The 25,123-nt window shown below is 40.4% G+C and overlaps 1 protein-coding gene and 2 pseudogenes across 3 annotated transcripts in view, besides 7 other annotated features; 1 reads left to right on the top strand and 2 right to left on the bottom strand.

Moving 5' to 3' along the window:
- SENP6 (SUMO specific peptidase 6) overlaps nt 1-11,818 on the bottom strand; it is a 116,402-nt gene extending 104,584 nt beyond the window's left edge. For all 3 annotated transcript variants that reach the window (NM_015571.4, NM_001100409.3, NM_001304792.2), the window contains exon 1: nt 11,122-11,818. In NM_015571.4, coding sequence (NP_056386.2) covers nt 11,122-11,173 — 52 coding nt within the window. In that variant the 5' untranslated portion in view covers nt 11,174-11,818. The remainder of the gene's footprint in view (nt 1-11,121) is intronic.
- LOC100421091 (LSM14A, SCD6 homolog A (S. cerevisiae) pseudogene) lies at nt 1,697-2,644 on the top strand (annotated as a pseudogene).
- Nucleotides 6,087-6,587: an enhancer, noted in NCBI's record as "H3K4me1 hESC enhancer chr6:76316827-76317327 (GRCh37/hg19 assembly coordinates)". NCBI's record gives its function as "activates a minimal SCP1, AML or CMV promoter by ChIP-STARR-seq in naive H9 embryonic stem cells {active_cell/tissue: H9 hESC(naive)}" and the evidence as "EXISTENCE:reporter gene assay evidence [ECO:0000049][PMID:30033119]".
- Nucleotides 9,212-9,741: an enhancer, noted in NCBI's record as "H3K4me1 hESC enhancer chr6:76313673-76314202 (GRCh37/hg19 assembly coordinates)". NCBI's record gives its function as "activates a minimal SCP1, AML or CMV promoter by ChIP-STARR-seq in naive H9 embryonic stem cells {active_cell/tissue: H9 hESC(naive)}" and the evidence as "EXISTENCE:reporter gene assay evidence [ECO:0000049][PMID:30033119]".
- Nucleotides 10,907-10,966: an enhancer, noted in NCBI's record as "active region_24759". NCBI's record gives its function as "activates an Ori minimal core promoter by ATAC-STARR-seq in GM12878 lymphoblastoid cells {active_cell/tissue: GM12878}" and the evidence as "EXISTENCE:reporter gene assay evidence [ECO:0000049][PMID:35858748]".
- Nucleotides 11,227-11,376: a silencer, noted in NCBI's record as "silent region_17341". NCBI's record gives its function as "represses an Ori minimal core promoter by ATAC-STARR-seq in GM12878 lymphoblastoid cells {active_cell/tissue: GM12878}" and the evidence as "EXISTENCE:reporter gene assay evidence [ECO:0000049][PMID:35858748]".
- Nucleotides 11,480-12,029: an enhancer, noted in NCBI's record as "NANOG-H3K27ac-H3K4me1 hESC enhancer chr6:76311385-76311934 (GRCh37/hg19 assembly coordinates)". NCBI's record gives its function as "activates a minimal SCP1, AML or CMV promoter by ChIP-STARR-seq in naive H9 embryonic stem cells {active_cell/tissue: H9 hESC(naive)}" and the evidence as "EXISTENCE:reporter gene assay evidence [ECO:0000049][PMID:30033119]".
- Nucleotides 11,631-11,925: a silencer, noted in NCBI's record as "tiled region #3954; HepG2 Repressive DNase unmatched - State 1:Tss". NCBI's record gives its function as "represses a minimal TATA promoter and a strong SV40 promoter by Sharpr-MPRA in HepG2 cells {active_cell/tissue: HepG2}" and the evidence as "EXISTENCE:reporter gene assay evidence [ECO:0000049][PMID:27701403]".
- Nucleotides 11,727-12,016: a silencer, noted in NCBI's record as "silent region_17340". NCBI's record gives its function as "represses an Ori minimal core promoter by ATAC-STARR-seq in GM12878 lymphoblastoid cells {active_cell/tissue: GM12878}" and the evidence as "EXISTENCE:reporter gene assay evidence [ECO:0000049][PMID:35858748]".
- RNU6-1338P (RNA, U6 small nuclear 1338, pseudogene) lies at nt 20,553-20,643 on the bottom strand (annotated as a pseudogene).

Raw genomic sequence — 25,123 nt, 5'->3', positions numbered from 1 at the left:
CTGAAATTTACTTTCAAAGAGTTAAAGAAAAAAAAAAAAGCTAGTGCTTTCATTTTCATTATCATTTAGTGCTCCACAGTATAAATATAATCGCTTATTTATACATCCCCCTATTTGTGGAAATTTAGGTTATATCCACCTTTTTACTATTACATACATTGCTACTATGAACATTTTAGTATGTCTCATATTGCTATTAAGAACTTTTTTTTTTAAGTTTGTTTCCTTGTGCATGTATATTTCTCTAGGGCAGAGGTCACCAGCCTTTTTCTGTAAAAGGCCAGACGGTAAATATCTTACACTGTGTAGTCCATACAGTCCCTGTCAGTTACTCAACGTTGCCATTTCAATGAGAAGGCAGGGATAATGCAAATAGGTATTGCTGTGTTGCAATAAAACTTTATTTAAGGGCAGTGACATTTGAATTTCATGTAATTTTCATGTGTCATGAAACATTCTTCTTTTGACTTTTTCCCTCCAGTCATTAAAAATATAAAAGCCATTCTGAGCTCATGAGCCTCTTAAAAACAGGCAGCTGGACAAATTTGGCTGGGTCATAGTTTTCTTTTCTTTTTTTTTTTTTAAAGACAGAATCTCACTCTGTCACGCAGGCTGGAGTGCAGTGGCACAATCTCGGCTCACTGCAACCTCTGCCTCCTGGGTTCAAGCGATTCTCGTGCCTCAGCCTCCCAAGTAGCTGGGATTACAGGCATATGCCACGATGCCCGGCTGATTTTTGTATTTTTAGTAGTGATGGGGTCTCACCATGTTGGCCAGGCTGGTTTTGAACTCCTGGCCTCAAGTGATCTGCCTGTTTTGGCCTCCCAAAGTGCTAGGATTACAGACGTGAGCCACTGCGCCTGGTCTGGGGCATAGTTTTCTGATACCTGACCTAGGGTATCCTTTAGCAATGGAATGATTTGGTCCTTGGGGATGTGCATTTTCAAGTTCAATAGGTATTGCCAAACTGATCTCCAAAGTGGTTTCAGTACTGTTTTTAAGTTTTCCTGTTTCCTGTTTCTATGCATCATCTCCCACTGTAGTGATGTTTTAATTTCTACGTCTCATGGGGTTATCAGACAGCTCACACCTATAATCCTAGCGTTTTGGGTGGCTAAGGCAAGAGGATTGCTTGAGGCCAGAAGTCGAGAGCAGCCTGAGCAGCATAGTGACACTCTGTCTCTACAAAAATAAAAAAATCAGCTGGTTGTGGTGGCACAAGCCTGTAGTCCCAGCTACTAAGGAGGCTGAGGCAGGAGGATCCCTTGAGCCCAGGAGTTTGAGACTGCAATGAGCCATAAGCGCACCACAACAATTACGAATATGAGAAAAACGTAACTTAGAAATATAAATGCAGCAAAAGAAAATATAGAGAGAATTAAATGTGTATGTTCGAAAAGCAATTTTATGTGGCTCTGCAGGGCTACAGCCCAAGTCTTTCTTAAGAACTATCAAGATTTTCCAAAGCCTTGAGTCACCATGTTACAAGTCTGAGTACCCTGCTGCAGAGGCCATCTGAAGAGGTCTTTAGACTGCAGACATGGAACTTCCCGACCAAACCACACAAGCCACCACCAAATCATCCCTGCAGATGCTACATGAAGAAGAAAAGTCACCTAGCTAAGCCTTTCTCAAGTCCCTGACCTTCAAAACCTGTATCTCTTGGTATAGAAGACAAACTAATAGATCACTACTACTTCAAGATAAAGTCTTTAAATACTATATTTCTGGATGTAATATTAAATTAGACCCCTCTGTGAGCTACCAAAACCAAAATGTTCTTTCCCTTAGCACCCCAGCTTCACTAGTCTATCTACTTCTATGTACCTTTCAGCAAGATGATAGCATAGTCAGTTCAGTTCGTTAGTCAGGCAGCAGTTTAGTGCTACAGGTGTTGCTGGAAACTCCTTAACTTTCTATGGAATGAAAAAGTCTAGCAATGATACCTATTCCAAAGCAGTGCAGTTGGCGCTACCTTTACACAGAATACACAATCTCTTAAAAATACACTTATCTCAAGCTGAAGCACACAAACTTCTAAAGCCAGAAATTAAACCGAGAAATGACTGCATGAGATAAGTAGTTCCAAATGTTCCTTATGCTTTAAAGTGAGAGGATCATCAAAGTGTCAGGGAATTCAGTATTCTGTGAGACAGACCAATGAAATTTGAGAAACACTTTAACTTTGAAAGTGCAAACACGTAATTCAGGAAGATGCACAGTTTCATTAAAAGCTTAAATTAACAGAGACTCAAGAAATAAGTGAAGCCTGTAAATGGTGAAAGCAAAAGAGACTGAGGAGCTGATACCCAAACTTGTGAAGGAGAAGCTGATGAACAGCTTCAGACTTAACTGCTATTATGATTTACTAAATCATTCTTTTATATCTCCTGTGGTTAAAAAATGAAAACCAACCTGGGCTGAAAACAGAAGACTGAATGCCAAAATGTTTGGAATCCCACTTCATTCAAATAGTGACCACTGGGGTTATGAAGAAAGAGAAGTTATTGGTTTCCACAGAAGCAGAGTCAGCAGGGGTCATGGTAGTTAAGTAGTACCTTCATCTTGTCTCCAGAATTTAGTTCTTGATTCATAAGTAGGAGGTTATGAAGGTAGAAAGTTGTAGATTTTTGAATATATGAAACAACAAGGTTACTAAACAGTTTAAATTCTCCAAGCCTAGGAGAATTTCTAGTTCCTCGTCGTCCACTCTTTATTAAAAATGAAAAGTGAATTTACCATCTATTGGATGCCAGCACTGTTTGTTATTTTTTTTCTCCCGTTCTGTTTCAAAAACTGTAATGCAGTGAATTTGGGAGGGGGAAAAAACGCATCTTCAAAAACTATAAAATGTATTTGATATAGCAACTCCTCCCTCACCCCACCCCCAAACAAAACAAACAAAAACAACCTCCAAAGGCAAGATCAGAACATAGCTGTTTTCATACTACTCCAGGCTGATTTCAGATGGCTTCAAGGTAGCTGTTGTTAAACTAGGACAAGGCAGAGTGTCCAAACATCCCAGTGTGCCTGGGACTATCCCAATTTTAGCACTGAAAGCCCCATATACTCTGAAGATAATAGTTAATAATTTTTGCCAATGGATGCAGAAGATTCTGGGAAGTACAAAACCCTAAGGTAGACAAAAAAAATTAGGGTCCAAAAACAACCCTGTTTTTAGTGTCAAATGGATATGGCACAGATTATCTATCACTTTCTGTAACTGTAGCCATTGTTTTATTACCTGATGATGGCAACCATCATTTGCAGTTCACAATAATGGATTATCCATTGTTGCATCATTCTAAGTAATATGACTTAGGTATACAACTTAAGTGTGCTGTAACTGTGAGCATTAACAGTCTGTGACTTAGTGGATTAACTGGCATTTTATATCAAGATACTGTTTTACTTTTAGTATCGTGAATAGTATGACCATTTCTAAGAGCTTAAGTAATGAAAATGAGAGCAAGACCCAGGCATCACTAAATGAAAGAAAAAACAAAAGGAAGGAAAAGTTTCTAACATTCTTCCTCTTTTGTCCATACTTATGCTTGCCTAGTTTCAGAAATTCCTGAATCCATTCCCAATCAACTAGAAGTTAAACTAAGGCCAGGTGCGGTGACTCACACTTCTAATCCCAGCACTCTGGGAGGCTGAAGTAGGTGGATCACTTGAGGTCAGGAGTTTGAGACCAGCCTGGACAACATGGAGAAACCCCATCTCTACTAAAAATACAAAAATTAGTCAGGCATGGTGGTATGCGCCTGTAATCCCAGCTACTAGGGAGGCTGAGGAAGCAGAATTGCTTGAACCTGGAAGGCAGAGGTTGCAGTCAGCCAGTGAGCTGAGATGGCGCCACTACACTCCAGCCTGGGCAACGGAGCCGAGACTCCATCTACTCCATCTCAAAAAACAAAAACAAAAACAAAACATTAAACTAATGACTGTTTCTATGCTATTTATATCTTTGAAATAAATTACTAATTAAGTTGCCCATTTTGTTTTGTCTTTCTTTAGCTTCCCAAACTGTCCAAAAGTTGGATTTTGGGTTTCATAAGAATTGTCATTTAAAATACCACATGACTGTTGAAAAATACTTTGACTGTTGAAAGAATGGGGAAAAAATACCAGGTAGGTATGGGAGAGAAAAGATGGCTGTATAGATTAAAGATAGCTGCAAATTATTTGTCATTCTTCCCACTGAAGGGTGGAATCTACTCCCTCTCCCCTTCAATCAGGGCTGGCTCTGTATTCTTTTGGCCAATACAATGTGGAAGACGTTAACACTGTAAATTTCTGAAGTTGGGCCTCAAGAGATTTGTGGCTTTCCATTTTTGCCCTCTTAAAAGTGCTGCTTCATCAATAAATAATACTTCTCCATAATAACTTATTATTTTTCCTTCTCTTGTTCAGTCGCCCCTTCCTTTGGGGGGAGGTACAGGAAAAAGAGGTAAGAGTAAGAATAGGGAAGCAAAGTGATGAGGAAGCGGGGAGAAAGGGAGAGGAAGGAAATGCTGAAGAAAGCTGAAGCTATTAAGTCGGGTCCCAGGCTACAGTCTGACTTCCCCAATAACTTAAGCTGTGCCAAACAACCCTTCTATACCTCAAGTTCCTCAAATATTCAACATACTTTTCTAATAGCAACAGGAATAATCAATTTATGAAAGTCTAGACATACAAAGTATGTAATTTCATTCTCTTTCCTCTCTCATTACAACACTGGTCAAAATCAGCTAATATCTAGAAAAAGGTAGTCAGTGAAAGAAAAACAATGCAAACTAAAATTCAAATAGAAGAGAAGACAAGCAAGTAAAGGAAGCTCTTTTTCTTTTCTCTATCTGCTAATAAAATAAATAATATCAAGTAACACGGAGTGCTTATTATATGCCTGGAATTGCTTTAAGTAATATATATTTCCTCAATCCTCATGGCAATCTTATAAGGTAACTACAATTATTATTTTTAACGACAATTATTACCCTTGTTATATAGCTGAGAAAACAGAGAAGTTAAGTAATCTATCCAAGATCACATAGCTAACAAGTAGTAAAGCCAGATGTTGAACCTCAGCATTCTGACTTTTGAGTTCATATTCTCAATGCATTTCTAGCGAAAATCACTTTCTTTTCTCCTTCCTTTCTTTCTTCCTTTCTTTCCTTCCTCTCTTTCCTTCTTTCTTTCCTTCCTCCTTTCCTCTTTTTCCTCTTCTTTCTTTCTCCCTCCCTCTCTTTTTTCTTTCTTTCTTCTCAGCTCTGTCACCCAGGCTGAAGTGCAGTGTCATGAATTGCAGCCTCAACCTCCTGGGCTCGAGCAACAAGCAATCCTCCCACCTCAGCCTCCTGAATTCCTGGGACTTTGGGTGCATGCTGTGACATCCGGTTAATTTTTGTATTTTTTGCAGAGATGGGGCCTCGTTATGTTGCCCAGGCTGGTCTTGAACTCCTGGGCTCAAGCAATCCTCCTGCCTTGGCCTCCCGAAGTGTTATCTCAGGATAACAGGTATGACCCACTAAACTTTGCCTGAAAATCACTTTCATTCCAAGTGAGGTTCTACTTTACTGTTTCAAGTACATGAACTCACATGATAAACAGAATTTATCACTTTAACTGGGATGAAATCAGGAAATAAACATACTTAAGTAAGGAGTAAATAAGGAATGACACCATGATGTAGTTTCCAAAAGTAATGCAATCAAAAGAAAAAGAGGTGTATTCCCCTAAGTAGGCAGAAACTAGAAACCCTGTTCATATTCCATGGAATGCCAATCGTTTGGGAGAAGCTGTGCTCTAGTTCAACAGACAGTGTTAGGTATTTACGGTCTCCAGTAAAACTGGCAAACTGATTGGGTTCTGCAATGAGTTTATATATAACATAAAAGACTGGCTAAGGCGAAATGGAAAACACTTTTCATTTGGAGACAGAAGCATTTTTGCTGGTATCTGTAGAGAACAACATTGCATGCAACAGTTTAGCATCACTCTTTTCAACCTAGTAGACAAGGTCCATAAAGGAAGACAGGCTGAAATGAAAAGGAAAACAAACTAAAGTAGTAGTATATGTATATTAGAAAGGAAGGCAGAAAAAAGTTACTTCAGGAAAAACGGGAGAAAATATAGGAGAAGGAATTCACTTGGTTAAAAAAAAAAGGAAAAGAAAACTAGATATGAACAAGTGCAGTACAAAAATGAAGAAATGTATAAGAGAGTAGGTAGGCTTGTTAGAGCCCCCAGAGTGAAAAAAAGAAAAGGTAGAATATCAAAAGAAAGTTTATAGGAACAAGCTAGCCACCATCAATCACCTTTGTCCTCTATTCCAATCATCTCCTAACTGGATAATCTGCTGCCCCTCTCTGAAGCTCTCTCCATGTAGCAGCTGATGACCTTTTTTTTTTTGGGTGGCAGGGTCTCGCTCTGTACTCCCAGGTGGGAATGCAGTGGTACGATCATGGCTCACTGCAGCCTCGCCCTCCTGGGCTCAAGAATCCTCCCATATCATTTTTTTATGTTTTTGTACAGACACGGGCTCACTATGTTGCTCAGGCTGGTCTCCAACTCCTGGGCTCAAGCAATCCTCTCAACTTGGCCTCCCAAAATGCTGGGATTACAGGCGTGAGCCACCATGCCCGGCTATTGACCTTGTTTGAAATAAATGTGATGTCACCTCCAGTATCATCTTGCACCGCTCTCCTATCTGACACCATTATTGTCCTCCCTTAAGTTCCCCAAACATGCCATGCTCCCCTATTTTACTCTCTCTACCTAGAAAGCACTGCCTCTCTACCTTCTGTTCTCTAATACCCACTTCAAACCACCCTGATTAGATCCAATTCTCATGATTTCAGGTTAAGTGTCCCTTATCCGAAATGCTTGAAACTAGAAGAAATGTTTCAGATTTCAGATTTTTTTTTTGGATTTTGGAATATTTGCAAATTTTATTATATTATCCCAACTGAGCATCCCAAATCCAAAAATCTGAATTGATTCAATGAGCATTTCTTAGGGGGGTCATGTTGCTTCAAATTCTGGAGGATTTTGGATTTCTAAATTTGGGATGTTCAACTTGTATAAACAATCCACCACTGATTGCTGTACTTGTCAGTTGTAATTTTACATTTAAAAGTATTATTTTATTATTTTTTACTTTCCTCACTAGACTGAACACTCTATGAAAAAAACATGGTTTCTTCTCCCTCACTGTTATGCCTCTCAGTGCAGTGTCATTGCCTACAACATAGTAGGTGTTCAATAAGTATCTGTTGACTGAATAAATACAGGGGAGCAACCTGCCAAAACTGTCTATCATAAGTGGAAAAGGGGTTATGAGCAACAGTTAGTGAAGAGAAGTGAAAGAAACAAGTCAAAGAGGGGAGAGGAGAGTAGAAAATTTTAACACAAGCTGTGGCTTAATGAAATCCATACAATTTTAGTGTGCTTTTGTATAAATAAAGACAACCAGTAGGTCTCCTTTTCCCTACAGAAGCTATAAAAAGAAATGGAATTAGAATCTTAGTAGTTATAAAGATATAAAACATACTTCAGAGCAAAAATGTCAAACAGGCATCTCAAATTTAGTATGACCAGTGTTGTTAATTTCCTTCTCATTCTTCTATCAGTCTACTCCATCTCAGTAAATGGCAGTACCACTAATACCTCAGGCTAAACAAAACCTTTTGATTCCTCTTATTCTGACACTCAATGTACAGTTCATCAAGTCCTGTAAGCTCTACATCCAAACATATCCTCAACCTATCAACTTCTCTTCCCCAGTCTCCACTGACATCATGCTAATTGAAGCCCCGACCACTTCTACCTTGACTACTACAATATTATCCTAATTTATTGTCTTGCTTTTAATCTTGCCCCCTAATTAATTCCACAAAAAGCAGCCAAACTTTTTTTTAAAAAAAGATAAACCATATCATTACACCCCCTTGCGCCAAACTCGTCAATGGCTTCCCGCTGAGAAAGATATAAAAATTATTCATGATCCTGCATGAAAGATCTCCTGCCTCTCATATCACTCTCTCCTTTGCTTTCTACATTTCAGCCTTTTTGTTTATCAAATCAATCTTTACACGCATCCCCTCTGCCATATTCTGAAGTGTCTCTTAGTTAAGGTGTTTACTTAATTAAGTGTAACCTCCTCAGGGATGCCTTTCTTGACTTCAATGCTATGTAAAATGGCTTCCCCATCATTGCTGTTTATGTCTTCCGTATTTATCATACTGTTTATCATCTGGTTTATTTCATTAACAACAAATATGTTTCAGGTGCAAGAAATATGATGGTGAAAAAAAAGTCATTACTTTTTCACAGTTTATTACAGAGATATGCTTTCACAGAACCTAAGACAGAAGACTAAATAAAGGCAGAGTCCTTGACTCTCTTATGCACTTCACCGTGGTACACTGACTGTTAGAGTAGGATGCTGTAAATGTGATGAGCAAATGAAAACCTAGTTTAGTTTTTCAAGGACTCGACTGGAAAGTAAAGAAAGTGTAATATGTAGATGTCTTAATATTAAATCCTAGGAGCCTATGTATGGGGAAATATTTTGAACACTTATAAACCTGGTAATACAAAATATGCAGCAAATTATGGTGGAATATTTTATTATTATTTGAGATGTAGTTTCGCTCCTCGCCCAGGCTGGAGTGCGAATGGTGCGATCTCGGCTCACTGCAACCTCCAGCTCCTGGGTTCAGGTGATTCTCCTGCCTCAGCCTCCCGAGTAGTTGGGATTACAGGCGCGCGCCACCACGCCAGACTAATTTCTGTATTTTTAGTAGAGACGGGGTTTCACCATGTTGGCCAGGCTGGTCTCAAACTCCTGACCTCAGGTGATCCGTTCATCTCGGCCTCCCAAATTGTTGGGATTACAGGCGTGAGCCACCACGCCTGGCCGGAATATTTTATTATTATTAAAAGTGTAAGACACCAAAAGAATCATGGGAAATAAGCAGAAAACATTAGTATTAAATATCATTTATTTGGAAAGATTCAATATAGCATATGAAAATTGGTTATGAGGAACTAAAATTGTTCCTTTTCCTTATGCTTTTTTTTTTTGGAGACAGAATCTCGCTCAGTTGCCCTGGCTGGAGTGCAGTGGCGCTATCACTGCAACCTCTGCCTCCCGTTTCCAAGCGATTCTCCTGCCTCAGCCTCCGCAGTAGCTGGGACTACAGGCGCGCGCCAACCACACACGGCTAATTTTTGTATTTTTAGTAGAGTGGGGTTTCGCCATGTTGGCCAGGCTGGTCACCAATTCCTGGCCTCAAGTGATCCGCCTGCCTCGGCCCTCCAAAATGCTGTGTGTGATTAAGGGCGTGCCGCCACCGTGCCCAGAACCCTTATGCTTATGCTCTAAAGAAGTTACCGTTTGCTTGCTTTATAAAAATGCTTAAGACATGGTGAAACTCGAATTTATCATACCTATACATTCAAAGACCCTTAGATTAGAATAAAGTAAAAGTAGTAGTTTGAAACTCACATTAACTCTACATCTGTGGCTTTATTTGTGCTTGTTTTAATCCTCCCTATGTTCATCCAATTAGAATTTTAACTCAATCGGGCCTATAGAAGCTGGAAATCTAGGATAGCACAAAAGTATAATCATCTGCATACTGAAGATAATAAGCACGAGTAAGCCATCTTTTGTTTCCAATTTCAAAACAAAAACAACACACATAGCACTACCTGTAACACAAGCTGCACCCTCTCAGCCTCGACAGGTACCCATTCCGCAAACTGGAATGGAGGTAATACGAAACGAACCCAGAAAAACTCAGAAGCTTTTCTTACTCTTACTAGGAAATCTCCTGTAAAGTTCTCATCACTTTTAGATAAAGGCTGGCTTGTACGGTAAGACTTTTTTTTCACTTTACTATACTCAAGTAAGAAGAATTAAGAAAAATTACCTCTATTATTCACTATTCTTTCACTAGACTAACACTGAGTACCTACTGTGTTCCAGGCACTGTTCGAGGTGCTGTTAACAAAGCAGTACCAAAGCATTCCCATTCCTCAACACCCTCCTATAGAACCTGTTTAGGGATTTTCTTAATTTTAAGTTAAATTGTACTTTCTTGATTCAGTAATCTTTCCGAAACATACTAAAAGAAGTTATTTTTTGAAGTAAAGCTTATGACATATTGCAATGAAAATCATCTTTGCAAAATTATCCAAAGAGTAGTTAATTCTTTTTAACAAGAAGAATGAGTCTCTGAGCAGCAGAGACTCATTTTGCTAAACAAAGTGTAAACACTGAACCCATAGTCAAATTAAGTAATATAAACACTTCTTGGGCTACAATTACAATAACATTTAGCTCTATTTTGGGGGTCCTTATATATTCATAGGCCAAAAAAATCAATATTGTTCCCCATTACCACCTTCCCCAACAAAAACATACAGCTTTTCTTGAGGCTGGCTTAGTCTACTTACAGCAAATGTTTAACTTTCCCTCACGAGTGAGTAAAACTCAAATTGTGTCAATAAGCTTTAGTTACGGCCCCAAAATTGACACTGTAAACCTTACTCTTTTTCCAGATAAATTATTTTACAGAATATTTTTATAAAAACACATTCCGAAAGAATATCAGACAAGGCCAGGCCTAATCTGAAGGCTGGCTGCAAAAGCAAGCCTGAAACTCTGAGAAACAGACCAGAGGGTATAAAACACACCTCAATGAAACTGTCTGTCCCCTCCCTACTTAGATTGGTCCCCAGTTGCACCCAACCTTAGCAATTTGAAACTTTTCATGAACACCAGACAAGATGTGAATGCTGGCTGCTCTCATCCTTAGGCCACCACCCCAAAATTTTTTAAATGTCAAAGACTTCAGCGCGCACTCTCAAAGGACGCCCACCAACTCTGGCTCGTAGCTCAATCCACCCGCGCCCCCTGGGCCGAACCGGCTCGCAGCCGAGCCCCTCGCCTAGGCGGACTCGAACCAGGTGCGCTCGCAGCACACTCCCTCCCCGTCATCGCTCATCCCTCGTACTTCACCGCCCCCGAAACCCACCCAGCGCAGATAACTGAATATCCGGGGTTCTGGGGGCCACGTTTTCCAGTATACCCTCCCTTCTCCCCGTCAAGGGCAGAAACAGACGTACCTTCCAGAAAAGTAATCTCCCCTGCGCTACCGCCGCTCTTGCCGGCCGCCATCTTCCTCCTCCCACGCCGCCTCCTTCTTAATCCATGGCCCACACCGCCGCCGTGCTCGCCGGGATGAGGGGCCGCGCCGGAGGAGGGTAGACGCCGCAGGGTTGCGGGCCTCGGGCTCAGCCGTCAGGCGGGCTGCGCTCCCACGTTCAGACGGGCCTATACAAAGGCAGGCCAGGCGCGCCCGGGCCTGTCCGCGGGCTGGCGGGCAGCGAGGCCCGCGGCCCGAGCTTCTCAGGCCTCTCCGGGGGAACGCGACCGGCGACGACGACGACGGCGCTTCCCGGGCCCGGTTCCTCTCGGCCCACGACTCCCCATCCACCGCCCACCCAGGCTGCCTGAGAAACTTCCCCCAGCCGTGGGTTCCCAAGAAAGGAGAATGAAAGCGAGCACACAAACACGCCTCCCTTCGTCCCAGGCCGTAAAATGGCCGCACCCGCCGCGCCGGAGCGGCGAGGTCTCTGCGACCGTCAGGCGCCCCCAGGCCCCTAGCTCGTTCTGCAGCCGCCGCCGCTACGGCCGTCCGCCCACCCCGCCCAGGCGTGAATGCATCAGCGGAGGCCTTTGCGACTGTCCATGTGGACAGGGGTGGGTCTCCTCTGCCACCGCCTCGCGTCGGTCGCCACAGCAGCTCCAGCCGCCGCCGCTGCCGCTCCTCCCCCACGGGCGCTGGAGCTGCCGCCCGGCTCCCGCCCCCGCCCCGACGCCGCCGCCCCCAGCGCGGCTCCCCCTCAGCAGCCCGGACTCGGCTCGCGGGCAGAGCTGGCTGCGGCGCCGCACCGAGCCCTGACTTGTGGGCGCCCGCCGCCCGGGCTTTCGGCAGGGTAGGCCTTTCACGGCGCGGGCTCGGCCTAGACACGTTACATCCAAAATCCCCACCGCCCAGGGCCCCATGGCAGACCTGGCGTGTGCGATGGGTTTGCTCCTCTGGCACCACAGATGCCTAAGAAATGTGAAAATGTCATTTCTTGAGGAGACCTTAGAATTTAAACTACAGCCAACCGAAGAGAAAAGGTAGTGAGGTACTGGAATCATATGTTTAGTAAATGATTCGTGGTCTACATTTATTTTTAAAGAAGTTTCCAAAATAATTTAGCAGGGAAGATCCTACCAGTCAGCTTTAAATGGCAGTGTTTTTTTGTTTTTTAAAAAGTCCCTTGTCATTTACGTGCCTGAGACTTGAAAAAACCATACCCTACCTTACAAGTGAGGCCTTTTTTTTTTTTAACTTCTTTTCCTTTAAAAATTTTCTCTTATTATAAAAATAATACATTCTCATTCAAGGAAATATGGAAAGCACAGAAAATGATTATAATGTTTCACGACTGAAACTCAACTCCTGTAGGTTTGTAGTCCTCTGATAGCATTTTTCTTGTCTTTCAGTATCGTTCTTTAAAAAACAAAAATGAGCAAAAATCTATGCTAAATGTCAATGAAAAGTCAACAGCAATTAAAATGATGCAGAAAACCGACATGATTAAGTGCAGTCTTTGGGGAATGGACTGTTCTAATTCAGTTGTGCTATTAACGAAGGCCTAAGCGGAAAGGCTTATTGTTTAAAACGTCCTTTAAAATCTTTTTCCTAATGCGAACCAATAATCTTTCCTGATTGGCAAGAGTAGTGTAATGAATGTAATTTATTTTTGTTGCCTGAGGTTATTGCATGATCCTGTTGTGGTGTTCTATGACATCGTCTGTGCCAATGACAGTATAATACTGAGAAGTGTAGGTAATAGGCAAATGTGGGTAACTGGCCATTTGTACAGACTTCAACATGTAGTTTTAAAAAAATCTTTAAGGCCGGGCACGGTGGCTCACGCCTGTAATCCCAGCACTTTGGGAGGCCGAGGCGGGTGGATCACCTGAGGTCGGGAGGAGTTCAAGATCAGCCTGACCAACATGGAGAAACCCCGTCTGTACTAAAAATACAAAATTAGCTGGGCGTCGTGGCACGTGCCTGTAATCTCAGCTACTCAGGAGGCTGAGGCAGGAGAATCGCTTGAATCCGGGAGGCGGAGGTTGCGATGAACGGAGATCGTGCCATTGCACCCCAGCCTGGGCAACAAGAGCGAAACTCCGTCTCAAAAAAAAAAAAAAAAAAACTTTCAGCAGCTTGATTCCATTTGGAAAAATTGTTTTTTTAATTAAAAATAAATCTTTGCTTTTAAAATGCATATATGCTGGCTTTGAAAATGGAAGAAGGTGCCAGGAGTCAAGGAATGTGTGTGGCCTCTGGAAGCTGGAAAAAGCAAGAAAATCAGTTCTCCTCAAGAGTCTCCAGAAAGGAAAACTGACACTTTGACTTTAGCCCAATCAGAAAGGTATTGGACTTCTGACCCTGCAGAACTATCAGAAAAAAATTTGTGTTAAATTGCTAAATTAGTGGTAATTACCATGTGTTACAGCAACACATGGAATGGGAAACAAGGTAAAGTGTGTAGAAGATTTTTGTTTGTTTGTTTTTTGAGACGGAGTTTCACTTGTCGCCCAGGCTGGAGTGCAATGGCATGATCTCGGTTCACGGCAACCTCCGCCTCCCAGGTTCAAGCGATTCTCCTGCCTCAGCCTCCCGAGTAGCTGGGATTGCAGGCGCCCGCCACCACGCCCGGCTAATTTTTGTATTTTTAGTGGAGACGGGGTTTCACCACCTTGGCCAGCCTGGTCTCGAACTCCTGACCTCAGGTGATCCACCCGCCTCGGCATCCCAAAGTGCTGGATTATAGGCGTGAGCGACCGCGCCCGGCCCCTTTCCTGGTTTTTTTAGCCTGGTGAATAGCGTTGTCATTTATTAATGTCATTCATGCATTTCTGGTTTCACAAGCCAGAAAACTAGGAATCTCTCATCTCTCTTTCTCGCTCCTTCTCTCTCCTCTTTCCCCTCTTTTTTAAATCAAATCTCCTTCCTGATTATCTTTTGAATCTATACATATTTTTTCCAGTTCCGGTGTCTCCCCATCAATCTTAGCCACTATAATCTTTCACTATACTACAATAATAGCTTCAAACAGGTTATTCCTTAATCTCTCTACCCCTCCTCTAATCCATTTCTCACACAAAAGCCACAATAATGTTTTTAAAAATTAATTAATTAATTGTTATTATTATTGAGACAAGGTCTGGCTCTCTGGCTCAAGCTGGAGTTCAGTGGTGCAATCTCGGCTCACTGTAACTTCTGCCTCCCAGGCTCAAGTGATCCTCCTACCTCTCCTACCTCAGTCTCCCAAGTAGCTGTGACTGCAGATGTGCACCACCATGCCTAGCTAATTTTTTTTGTATTTTTTGTAGACAGGGTTTTACCATGTTGCCCAGGCTGATCTTGAACTCATGAGTTCAAGTGATCCACCCACCTTGACCTTCCAAGGTGCTGGGATTACAGGTGTGAGCCACCGTGCCTGGCCTCTCTTTTTTTTCAATGTAAATCAGATCAAAGCACTTTACTGTTTAAAACCACTCAAAGATTTCCCTTTGCTCTTAGGATAAAGTCCTAAATCCCAGGCCCTCCCTACCTACCTCACTAGCCTCCTCTTGCAGCATTCTCATCTTCTTCATTAAGCTCCAGCCATTTTCAATTCTTTCAGTTTCTCTTTTCTACATTAGAGCCTTTGGACATGTTTTACCCTCCATCTGCAATGCACTTTTTGTCTGAATAGAATCTTGCACCAATAGATATTAATACATATCTGCTTAATGAGTAAATAATACAAAGTATCAAAAATAATTTTTTCCCAAGGAAAATTTAGAATCATAGAATTCTAGAACCCAGACTCCTTAAAGACTATGTGATACAAATCTTCTCAGAGGTTCAGAAAATGTCTATGCCCCAAGTAACATTTTGGTAGAAATTGAGGAAAGATACTCTCAAAGGGATCAGCAATCGAGGTGTGAACCTAGGGTTTGGATGTGAAGATTATAATGCTGTAATACAGTCTTCTCAGAGGTTCAGAAAATGTCTATGCCCCAAATAACATTTTGGTAGAAATCCAGGAAAGATACTCTAAAAGGGATCAGCAATTGAGGTGTGAACCTAGGGTTTGGATTTGAAGATTATAATGCTGAAATAATCTGAGTTGCTCTGAGGGGGCTGGGAATTGACAAAAGGAAGATTTGAGTTGGTTATAGACATATAACAAAGTTTTCTCTTTGTGTATGTTATCCCTAAAGCTGCAAATTCTTTTGTATCATAGGGGATGTTTCCTCTAGTTTAGCCAAATTTAAAGTGCTGTGTATAAAACTACTTGGATAAACTGACCCATATTCTATGCTGGTAGAGCTTAATAATGATTAATAAAATAGTAACTGTTTTAATACATATATTTCTTTGAAAACATAATTATTAAATCCCATTCTTCTAGGCACCACACTGAGACATGCAGTATATAGTTAATCCACAACTAAATACAAGTTTCAGGAGACAATAGCAGGTTCTGCAATTAGTGATTGGTTGGTTGATGGTTTTTCAAGGGCTAAGTGTATTTGTGCCAGATGAAATGATGAGCATTATATGAAAATAGTATATTCATTTCTGTTATAAGGATGTAAATTTCTGTCCTAACATAATTTCTACATTATCCCATTTCACTTCCAACTTGCTGATTATCTTATTATTGTTTTATTAATCCTACCATATTTCATGCTCATTTTTAATTTCCAGTTCTTCTCTTTAGTTAACGATTTCTGTCCCTGTTCCATGTTGCAGATTTTTTTCCTAGGGTTTTAGCAGGTGATTTATCAGCCATTTTAATGCTTATAATTTTAAACTTTTGATTAAATGAAGCTCGAAACTAATCTTTTAAAAATTGTAAGTGAATGTATCCTCAAAATAGCACACATTTCTTATACATAGTTCCTACCAGGCTCCTTCAGGGTCAACATTTATAAGTGAACAGAGAAGTTTTCAGGTGACTAGGCTGCATTATGACTTTCCTGGGCCCTAAGCACTATGACTTCATCAGGCCCTTCCTCCACAGGAAATATATCAAACTTTTTTTGGCCAGAGTTTAAATGCTATATATAAAACTACATTTAAAAATTTTAGATTAGTTAATTTTACAACTACTTTGATATAAAGATAAAATATAATCCAGACTGGATTTGTTGTTATATACTTATTATCATTATGTTTATTTTTTCTTTTGATTAAAAAAAATTAAAACATTTTCATAAGACCTTAAAGTTGTCATGGGCCCTTGGCACTGTGCCTCTTGTGCCTAGCAGATAAATTGGTCCTGCAGATGACCACTAGATCCTTTCGTGTTCATTAATGGAATTGATCACATGGAAATAATTTCTAGCTGATCTCCGAGGCAGTAGTTCTCACACTTTAACATGCATAGGAATCAACTAAAGAGCTTATAAAGCAGTTTCCTGGGCCCTATCCCAGACCATCTGATTACATAGGTCTGGGTAGGATTCATGAATTTGCATTTCTAATAAGCTCAAAGGTGGTACTGATCTGAGAACCACACTTTCAGGATAGTATAGCTATTTTATTTATGTAAAGGCAGTACTCTCAATATGATTTGGTAGGTATACTATCCAGATCTCCTAACCAACCTTTACTGAACATCTACTGTCATTCTTTTTTTTTTTTGAGACGGAGTCTCGCTCTGTCACTCAGGCTGGAGTGCATTGGCGCGATTTCGGCTCACTGCAAGCTCCGCCTCCCGGGTTCATGCCATTCTCCTGCCTAAGCCTCCAGAGTAGCTGGGACTACAGGCGCCTGCCACCACACCCGGCTAATTTTTTTTTGTATTTTTAGTAGAGATGGGGTTTCACCATGTTGGCCAGGATGGTCTTGAACTCCTGACCTTGTGATCCGCCCGCCTTGGCCTCCCAAAGTGCTGGAATTACAGGCATGAGCCACCACACCTGGCCATTCTTATTTTATAAGTGAACATAGACTCAAAGGTTAAATGACCTTGCCAAGGTGACTCAGCTAGAAAATTGTAGACCTAGGATTTGAGCTGAAGTCCATCTAGACTCCAAAGTTCATGGTCTCTTATTATCATTATAATGTGGTGATGATAGGTAGAATATAATCCATGGACCTAGAAGCAAGTATTTAAACATGAAATAATGCATAAAAGTGGTACTTTCATAGGTCATCATTGTTGTATTTTCCCTATTTATTTGAGTCTGCTGATGGCTGCCTTCTTTCTTGGTATTTTTTCTTCACTTCTTATCTCCAGTTAATAACAGCAGAAGGAATGCACTAATGGGATGTAACACAGTTTTCTGAAAGTGCTATTCTGTTCTTTTTTTTTGAGACGGAGTCTCACTGTGTGGCCCAGGCTGGAGTTCAGTGGCGCAATCTTGGCTCACTGCAACCTCCACCTCCCAGGTTCAAGCAATTCTTCTGCCTTAGCCTCCCAAGTAGCTGGGACTACAGGTGCACACACCACGCCCGGCTAATTTTTGTATTTTTAGTAGAGACAGGCTGGTCTTGAACTCCTGACCTCGGGTGATCTGCCTGCCTCGGCCTCCCAAAGTGCTGGGATTACAGGCCTGAGCCACCAAGCCCAGCCCGAAAGTGCTGTTCTTTAAAGCTGACTCCAAACTAAATCTGATTAGGATTTTGTATTTTTCATTAGCTTCACTTTACAAACAGAACTGCTTCATTACTTCTGCAGGTCGACAAACTTTAGTTTTCAGAACATACACAAAAAAGGATTAAGTAGCACTCTGAGCTTTGGACTTTAAACTCCTTTGCTTTAGGAGGTTAAAAGACTCATTTTATAACTAGCTTCCTTATCTATTCTTCTAAATATAATTTTATTATAAATAAATACATGTGAGATAATTACTTTATCTTTCTCCCTATTTGTATGTGTACATATTTGTAAATTTCTTACTGCTTTTCTTTCTCTGATTCTTTTGTTTCTGAAGAGCATAGTCTAATACAAATGTTGGCTATTTTCTAAAGTCATATTTTTCAAGAAGATGCTTTGATGACCTCAAAGTTTGCCAAACCATTGTTCACCACCCCAGTGTAAAGGAGCCACAACGTTTTCAGCAATCACACAAACGTTAAGTATAGGGAAAAAAAAGTATATATATATATAAAGTGTATATATATACATATATACATAGTGTATATATATACTGTGTGTATATATATAGTGTATATACTGTATATATATACATAGTGTATGTATATATAGTGGATATATATATATATAGTGTGTGTGTGTGTATATATGTATTTTTTTGTTTTTTTGTTTTTTTGTTTTTTTTTTTAGACAGGGTCTCACTCTGTCGCCCAGGCTGGAGTGCAGTGGCATGATCTCGGCTCACTGCAACTTCCGCCTCCTGGGCTCAAGCGATTCCCTCACCTCAGCCTCCTGAGTAGCTGGGATTACAGGCATGTGCCACTAGCCTGGCTAATTTTTGTATTTTTAGTAGAGACGGGGTTTTGCCAGGTTGGCCAGGCTGGTCTCCAACTCCTGACCTCAAGTGATCAACGCACCTCAGCCTCCCAAAATGCTGGGATTACAGGCCTGAGCCACCACGCCCAGCCAAGTATGGAAAGATATATTACAAGGATAGAGAAATTATCAAATACACCATGGAAAATCTTTTTGGCAGAACGCTTTGCAGCTATTTAAGCCAGTGAAGTAGATCCATTAGTACTGAAAAAAGTTATGGATATGAGGATGTATTTTTGGTAAAGAAGGTTAAAAAGAATAGAGAATAATTTTGTATAAGAAAGATTCTTGTATGGTAAGTTTTTGTCCTAAGGTAAAATGACTAGTTAAGAAAGAGAAGTATAAGACAAAGCAGAAAATTCAAGCATGTCATCAGTGGTCTGAATAAGTTGTGATAAGGTTTGTGAAAGCGAACTTTATGAGAGGAATTTTGTTTATGATCAAGTTAGCTATAATTAGAAGGCAATTATTTATGAGTCTTTGTAAAATTGAGCTTTAATATTAAAAATACACTAATACAAAACTAAACAAATTTGCTCCCCTATGTTAGAACAACAGGATTTTCTTTAAGTATTCATTTGCTCTTAATAAAATTACCAGAGGTTTTGATTTTTAATTGTCAAATCTGTTTCTTTAACAGCCATCTTCTGAACTGCTAACAGTTTGTATTTCTGCCACATTTCTTCCTGAGATCTATTTAGTTTCCCAAGTTTTAGATTGGAGATGCTGTCTTTGTTTTGTTTTGTTTGTTTTTTTTTTTTTGAGACAGAGTCTTGCTCTGTTGCCCAGGCTGGAGTGCAGTGACACAATCTCGGCTCACTGCAACCTCTGCCTCCCAGGTTCAAGCGATTCTCCTGCCTCAGCCTCTGGAGTATCTGGGATTACAGGCATCCTTCACCACACCCAGCTAATTTTTTATATTCTTGTAGAGGCAGGGTTTCACCGTGCTGGCCAGGCTGGTCTTGAACTCCTGTCCTCAGGTAATCCACCTGCCTTGGCCTCCCAAAGTGCTGGGATTACAGGCGTGAGCCACCGTGCCCAGCCTGATGCTATCTTTTTCATTGAGACTAGTAATTTTATTTCTCAAGGTAAAATTTTTTCTTTTTGTAACTTCTCAGATTTATATTTCAGAAGCTCAACTTTTTTTTTTTTTTTTTGTTCAGATGGAGTCTCACTCTGTCACCCAGGCTGGAGTGCAATGGCGGGATCTTGGCTCACTGCAACCTCCGCCTCCCAGGTTCAAGCGGTTTTCCTCCCTCAGCCTCCTGAGTAGCTGGGACTACAGGTGAGTGCCACCATGCGCAGCTAATTTTGTATTTTTAGTAGAGACGGGGTTTTGCCATGTTGGCCAGGCTGGTCTCAAATTCCTGGCCTTGAGTGATCAGCCCACCTTGGCCTCCCAAAGTGCTGGGATTACAGGTGTGAGCCACCACGCCCAGCCTTTTTTTTTTTTTTTTTTTTTTCTGAGACAAGTTCTCACTCTGTCACCCAGGCTGGAGTAACAGCTCACTGCAGCCTTAACCTTGTGTGCTCAAGCAATCCTTCCATCTCAGCCTCCTGAGTAGCTAGGACTACAGGTGTGTGCCACTATATCCAGCTAATTTTTGTTTCATTTTTTGTAAAGACAGGGTCTCCCTATATTATCCAGGCTAGTTTTGAAGTCCTGGGCTCAGTGATCCACCTGCCTTGGCCTCTCAAAGTGCTAGGATTACAGGTATGAGCCACCATGTCCAGCCTAGAAGTTCAATGTTAACTTAAAAAAGAAAAAGTTCAACTTTTGCTGTACCTTGCTACATGTGATTTGCAGGTCATACATCTTGCCCTTTGTTCTTTCGTCCTTTGAAGAGGTGTATCTTTTTTCTTGGCTGAGGTGATAACTTTCTCCTTCAATCTATTCATCAATTTCTGCAACTTTTTTTTTCTTCCAACTCTACTGTTACAGTCTGATGCTGAAATTTAAAAAAAATTATTATTTTTTAGCAGCTTATGGCCATGCTAATCTTCTCTGTATCATTCCAACTTTAGTATATGTGCTGTCAAAGCAAGCACTGAAATATTTATCTTAAAGGCCTAGAAACACAGTGTGTTCCTCCAGTATAACCCAATTCTGTGCTCTTGGCTTTTATTGATGTGCCTAAATTGTTCCATGTAATCAGGAAACTTCCTATGTTGTTAGTGAGAGCCATGTACTCCCTCACTCAAGGTATTAGTTTTCTTGTTTACATTCCTGTATAATGTAATGTATATTCTTAACCCTAGATACATTCTTCCTGTGCCTGATTAAATTCAAGTACCCTTTTCAACAGCATTGACTTCCAGATTATCTAAATGGGCTTCCCATAAGGAGAAGCAATCACACTACAAGAGATTTTTCTTTATGTTTTGGTAACTGGCCTGAAAAAACAAAGATTTTACATTTTATCAAGATAATTTCCTATCTTGTCTTTATTAGGTTTTGGACTACATAGAAAAACTGAGCTTTAAAAGGGTTAAGGTTTTTACATCCATGTAACTTTCTGTATTGCTTTTGAAGTCTTTTGTCACTCTGGTTAAATTAATGGCTATTATTTTACAGTAACCTGTGATTTTGTTTTGATCAGGTGTTTTGAACTTTTTAACATCTTTGGCAGGTCCTGCCCCCACCCACATCATCAAAATCTGAAACTAAATATTTTTTACTTAAAATTAACAGTGGGATTTTCCAGCTGGGCCCCTGGAGAGCCTCAAAGTTGTGTCTCTTATCTTTTAGATATATTAAATAATTAGGCTTATTTGGTAAATTGTATGGGAAGCATTGTAAAATAAGTGATACTAGATATTCCTTCAGTTACATTTATGTTTATGCTATTGATATAAATGTTGTAAAATTATATCAATTCATAAAAATATGTTACAGTCATAATTTTGGTGGCTATGTTAAATCTTTCCTAAACTTAAATTTGTGTGGGTATGTATTAATGTGAGTATTCTAAGAGTTGTATAAAATTTATAAAAGTTTGATCCTCCTGATATGACATTGTCAGTCATGATTCTGATTCTTTTTTTTCTTGTTGTTGAGGTGGAGTCTCGCTCTGTCACTCAGGCTGGAGTGCAGTGGTGTGATCTCGGCTCACTGCAACCTCCGCCTCCTGGGTTCAAGCGATTCTCCTGCCTTAGCCTCCTGAGTAGCTGGGACTACAGGTGCGTGCCACCACGCCTGGCTAATTTTTTGTGTTTTTAGTAGAGACAGGGTTTCACCATATTAGCCAGGATGGTCTCGATCTCCTGACCTCATGATCTGTTGGTCTTGGCCTCCCAAAGTGCTGGGATTGCAAGCGTGAGCCACCGCTCCTGGCCTGATTGTCATCTTAAAATGCTGCATGTAATGGAAATAACTACATTTCCTTGTCAATTGGGAAATTATTTATTTTTTATTTTTTTGAGACAAGGTCTCACTCTGTTGCCCAGGCTGGAGTGCAGTGGTGCGATCTTGGCTCACTGCAGCCTCCGCTTCCTGGGCTCAAGCAAGCAATCCTCCTATCTCAGCCTCTCGAGTAGCTGGGACTATAGTTGCACACCATCACACCCAGCTAATTTTTGTATTTTTTGTAGAGATGGGTTTTCACCATGTTGCCCAGGCTGGTCTCAAACTCCTGGGCTCAAGCAATCTGCCCACCTCAACCTCCCAAAGTGCTGGGATTACAGGTGTGAACCACTGTGCCTGGCCAGGAACTTTCATCAGATTTTTAACCATGACTATTCTAAGTTTCTGTCATCCACAGTTATTGCTTTGAAGTCTTCTCTAAAAGCATTTGCAATCAGCTATAGTCCAAAATGGCTTTGCATGGAAAGACTCTAACAAGTAGTCTTGAACACAGATTTCTGATAACTTTAAGATCAATGAATGAAATAAAAATCTTCAGAACTCTAATAAGGAAATTTATAGGTTCATAAAACTGCTAATCAAGATCAAGCAAAACGATAAATTAGTTACATGAAATTAAGTAATTGATAATGTTTTTATGACTTATTTAAACCATTGTTGGTTCTTTATTTAAATGTTTTGTTTTTCAGATTTAAGAACTTTTTTTCTCCTAAGCTATTTATAGTTTACAAGAATTTGGTAAAGTATACTTTTAATAAAGATGGAAACACCTTTGCTTTTTTCCCTTACTTGATTCTTCCCAAAAGTGGCAAATTCTTATGAGTATTCTTTATTTACATAAGTTCAATAAAAATTTGCTCTCTCTTCATAAATGGGATGTGATTGGAAACACTGATTTTTTTTTTTTAACCAAGTCTTTTTTTGTGTGTTTGCATTTTTGTTTATTTGTTTCTTTAGAGACAGAGTCTCACTCTGTTATCTAGGCTGGAGTGCAGCGGCATGATCAAAGCTCACTGTGATCTCAAGCTCCTGGGCTCAAGTGAAACTCCTGCCTCAGCCTCCTAAGTGGCCAGGACTACAGGTGTGTACCACCATGCTTGGCTAATTAAAAACAAAATTTTTTTTGGTAGAGGTGGGGTCTCACTATATTGCCCAGGTTGGTCTCAAATTCCTGGCCTCAAGTTATCCAGGATCCTCCTGCCTTGGCCTCCCAAGTTTCTGGGATTACAGGTGTGAGCCAATGCCCCTAGCCTTTTACCAAGTCTTTGAATAAAATGTTGTATTTAAGAGTGTGCACAAAATGTCTGGCTTTAGTAGTTTCTAGCCTTACAGTGAGTGAATAAAAATTGTCACTTCTTGGCAGACGCAAGAACCTTAAGACTGAAATAAAGTCTAAAGTCTGCCTTGGTTTGGCTTCCCATGCTCAAGAAGTTTTTAAGTCTGAGATTCCTAATGATCAACGTAGAGAGAAAAAGTTATATTTCTAAAGAAATATAATACGGCTGTTACTAGATAGTAGCCCTGTGCATTGTTTTTCAAGTTCTTGTTATCTACCTGTAGACTAGATCAGATCTTGAATTCTCCTAATTTCCTTCAATAATTGGCAGTAAGCTTCTTTGTTCCTAAATCCCTATAAGTCAAAACTAGATGAAATTTAAGAAACAAACCTCATGCCTGATGTATGGGCCACACAAAAGGTTTACCAAACCACTTGGTGTCATGACCAGAGACTTTCAAATTACAAACCAGGAGCGGCAGTTGATGTTTTCACGCTGTAGATAGCTTTTCTCAAGACATTGAAGCAAGACTCCATATCATAATTAGACTCTTACCCCTCTTAATGCTACCTTTTATGCTTGGTAAGCTAATGATGTAATTGAAATTTCACCATCAGTATATTCTGCTGGTAACTTAAGAGAGCCTAACCTAAGAAACTGTTTAGTAGGCCGGGCCCAGTGGCTCATGCCTGTAACCCTAGCACTTTGGAAGGCCAAGGTGAGCGGATCACCTGAGGTCAGGAGTTCAAGACCAGCCTGGCTAACATGGTGAAACCCTGTCTCTACTAAAAACACAAAAATTCACCGGGTATGGTGGTGCACGCCTGTAGTCCCAGGCACTCGGGAGGCTGAGGCAGGAGAATCACTTGAACTCGGGAGGTGAGGTTGCAGTGAGCCAAGATCATACCGCTGCACCCCAGCCTGGGTGACAGAGAGAGACCCTGTCTCAAACAAAACAAAACAAAACTAAACAAAATTGTTTAGTATCCATTGGTTAAATAAGAAAATGTCTGTGCTATTGGTAATACTATGTGCTATACCTGGATAAATTCCTCTGGAAAAGTTGAGACCCATACACACAAAGTAAGAAAGTAGTTTGCCTGGTTACAATAGGTCTCGCCTAATTCCCTATAGTCATTTAATTTATTCAATTGGTTATCTTTAAGCCTAGATTAATGGCTCAAAATAATTATACAAATTAGAATAGTCATATTACTATTAATTTTACTTTGTCTTTTCCCTTTCTAAACTTTGTATATGTTAACTCTACAATTTTTGTGGAAGTACAACTCCTAACAAAATAATGCTGACCCAGCACTTTGAGATGAAAACAAAAGACCACAGAACAGAACTTATTAATGGACTTCAGGTAGACTTAGCCTTAGAGCTACTCCCTTTAAACCTCCTTTGTTGCTCAAACATGGCTAAAAGAGTTTTGACACTGACTCCTAGTTGCCAATTACTCCTTATAATGTAAGACAAGACCAATAACGAGGACAGGTCTATTCTGTACTGAGGAACATCAAAACCTAACTACAGGATGTTTAATCAGTGATGCTTTTGGAGAAAGATCTTGATGAAAAGAGGAAAATATGGATGTTGTCAGAACCAAAATGAAGTTACTGATGTCAAAAAAACAAATAAAAAAAAAAAACAAAACCAAAACCCACTGACAAATAGAGCTGGGGAACATCATAAAGAAAAGGCTCTCATGCTTATATGCTTGATAATAAAAACTATCACAAAGACTCTGTAAAAACCACAATCTTTCATAAAATCCATTGCAGCCTTACACAAGAAATACTTCTGCAGGGACATCTGCCCAACAACTGCCTTTCCAACCCTGCACCAACGTCACACTTGTTATTGATCTTTATAGCCAAGGATA

This window comes from Homo sapiens, chromosome 6 (genome assembly GCF_000001405.40).
Source record: "Homo sapiens chromosome 6, GRCh38.p14 Primary Assembly".
NCBI classification, from domain to species: domain Eukaryota; kingdom Metazoa; phylum Chordata; class Mammalia; order Primates; family Hominidae; genus Homo; species Homo sapiens.
This window is presented reverse-complemented; position numbering and strand designations above follow the sequence as displayed.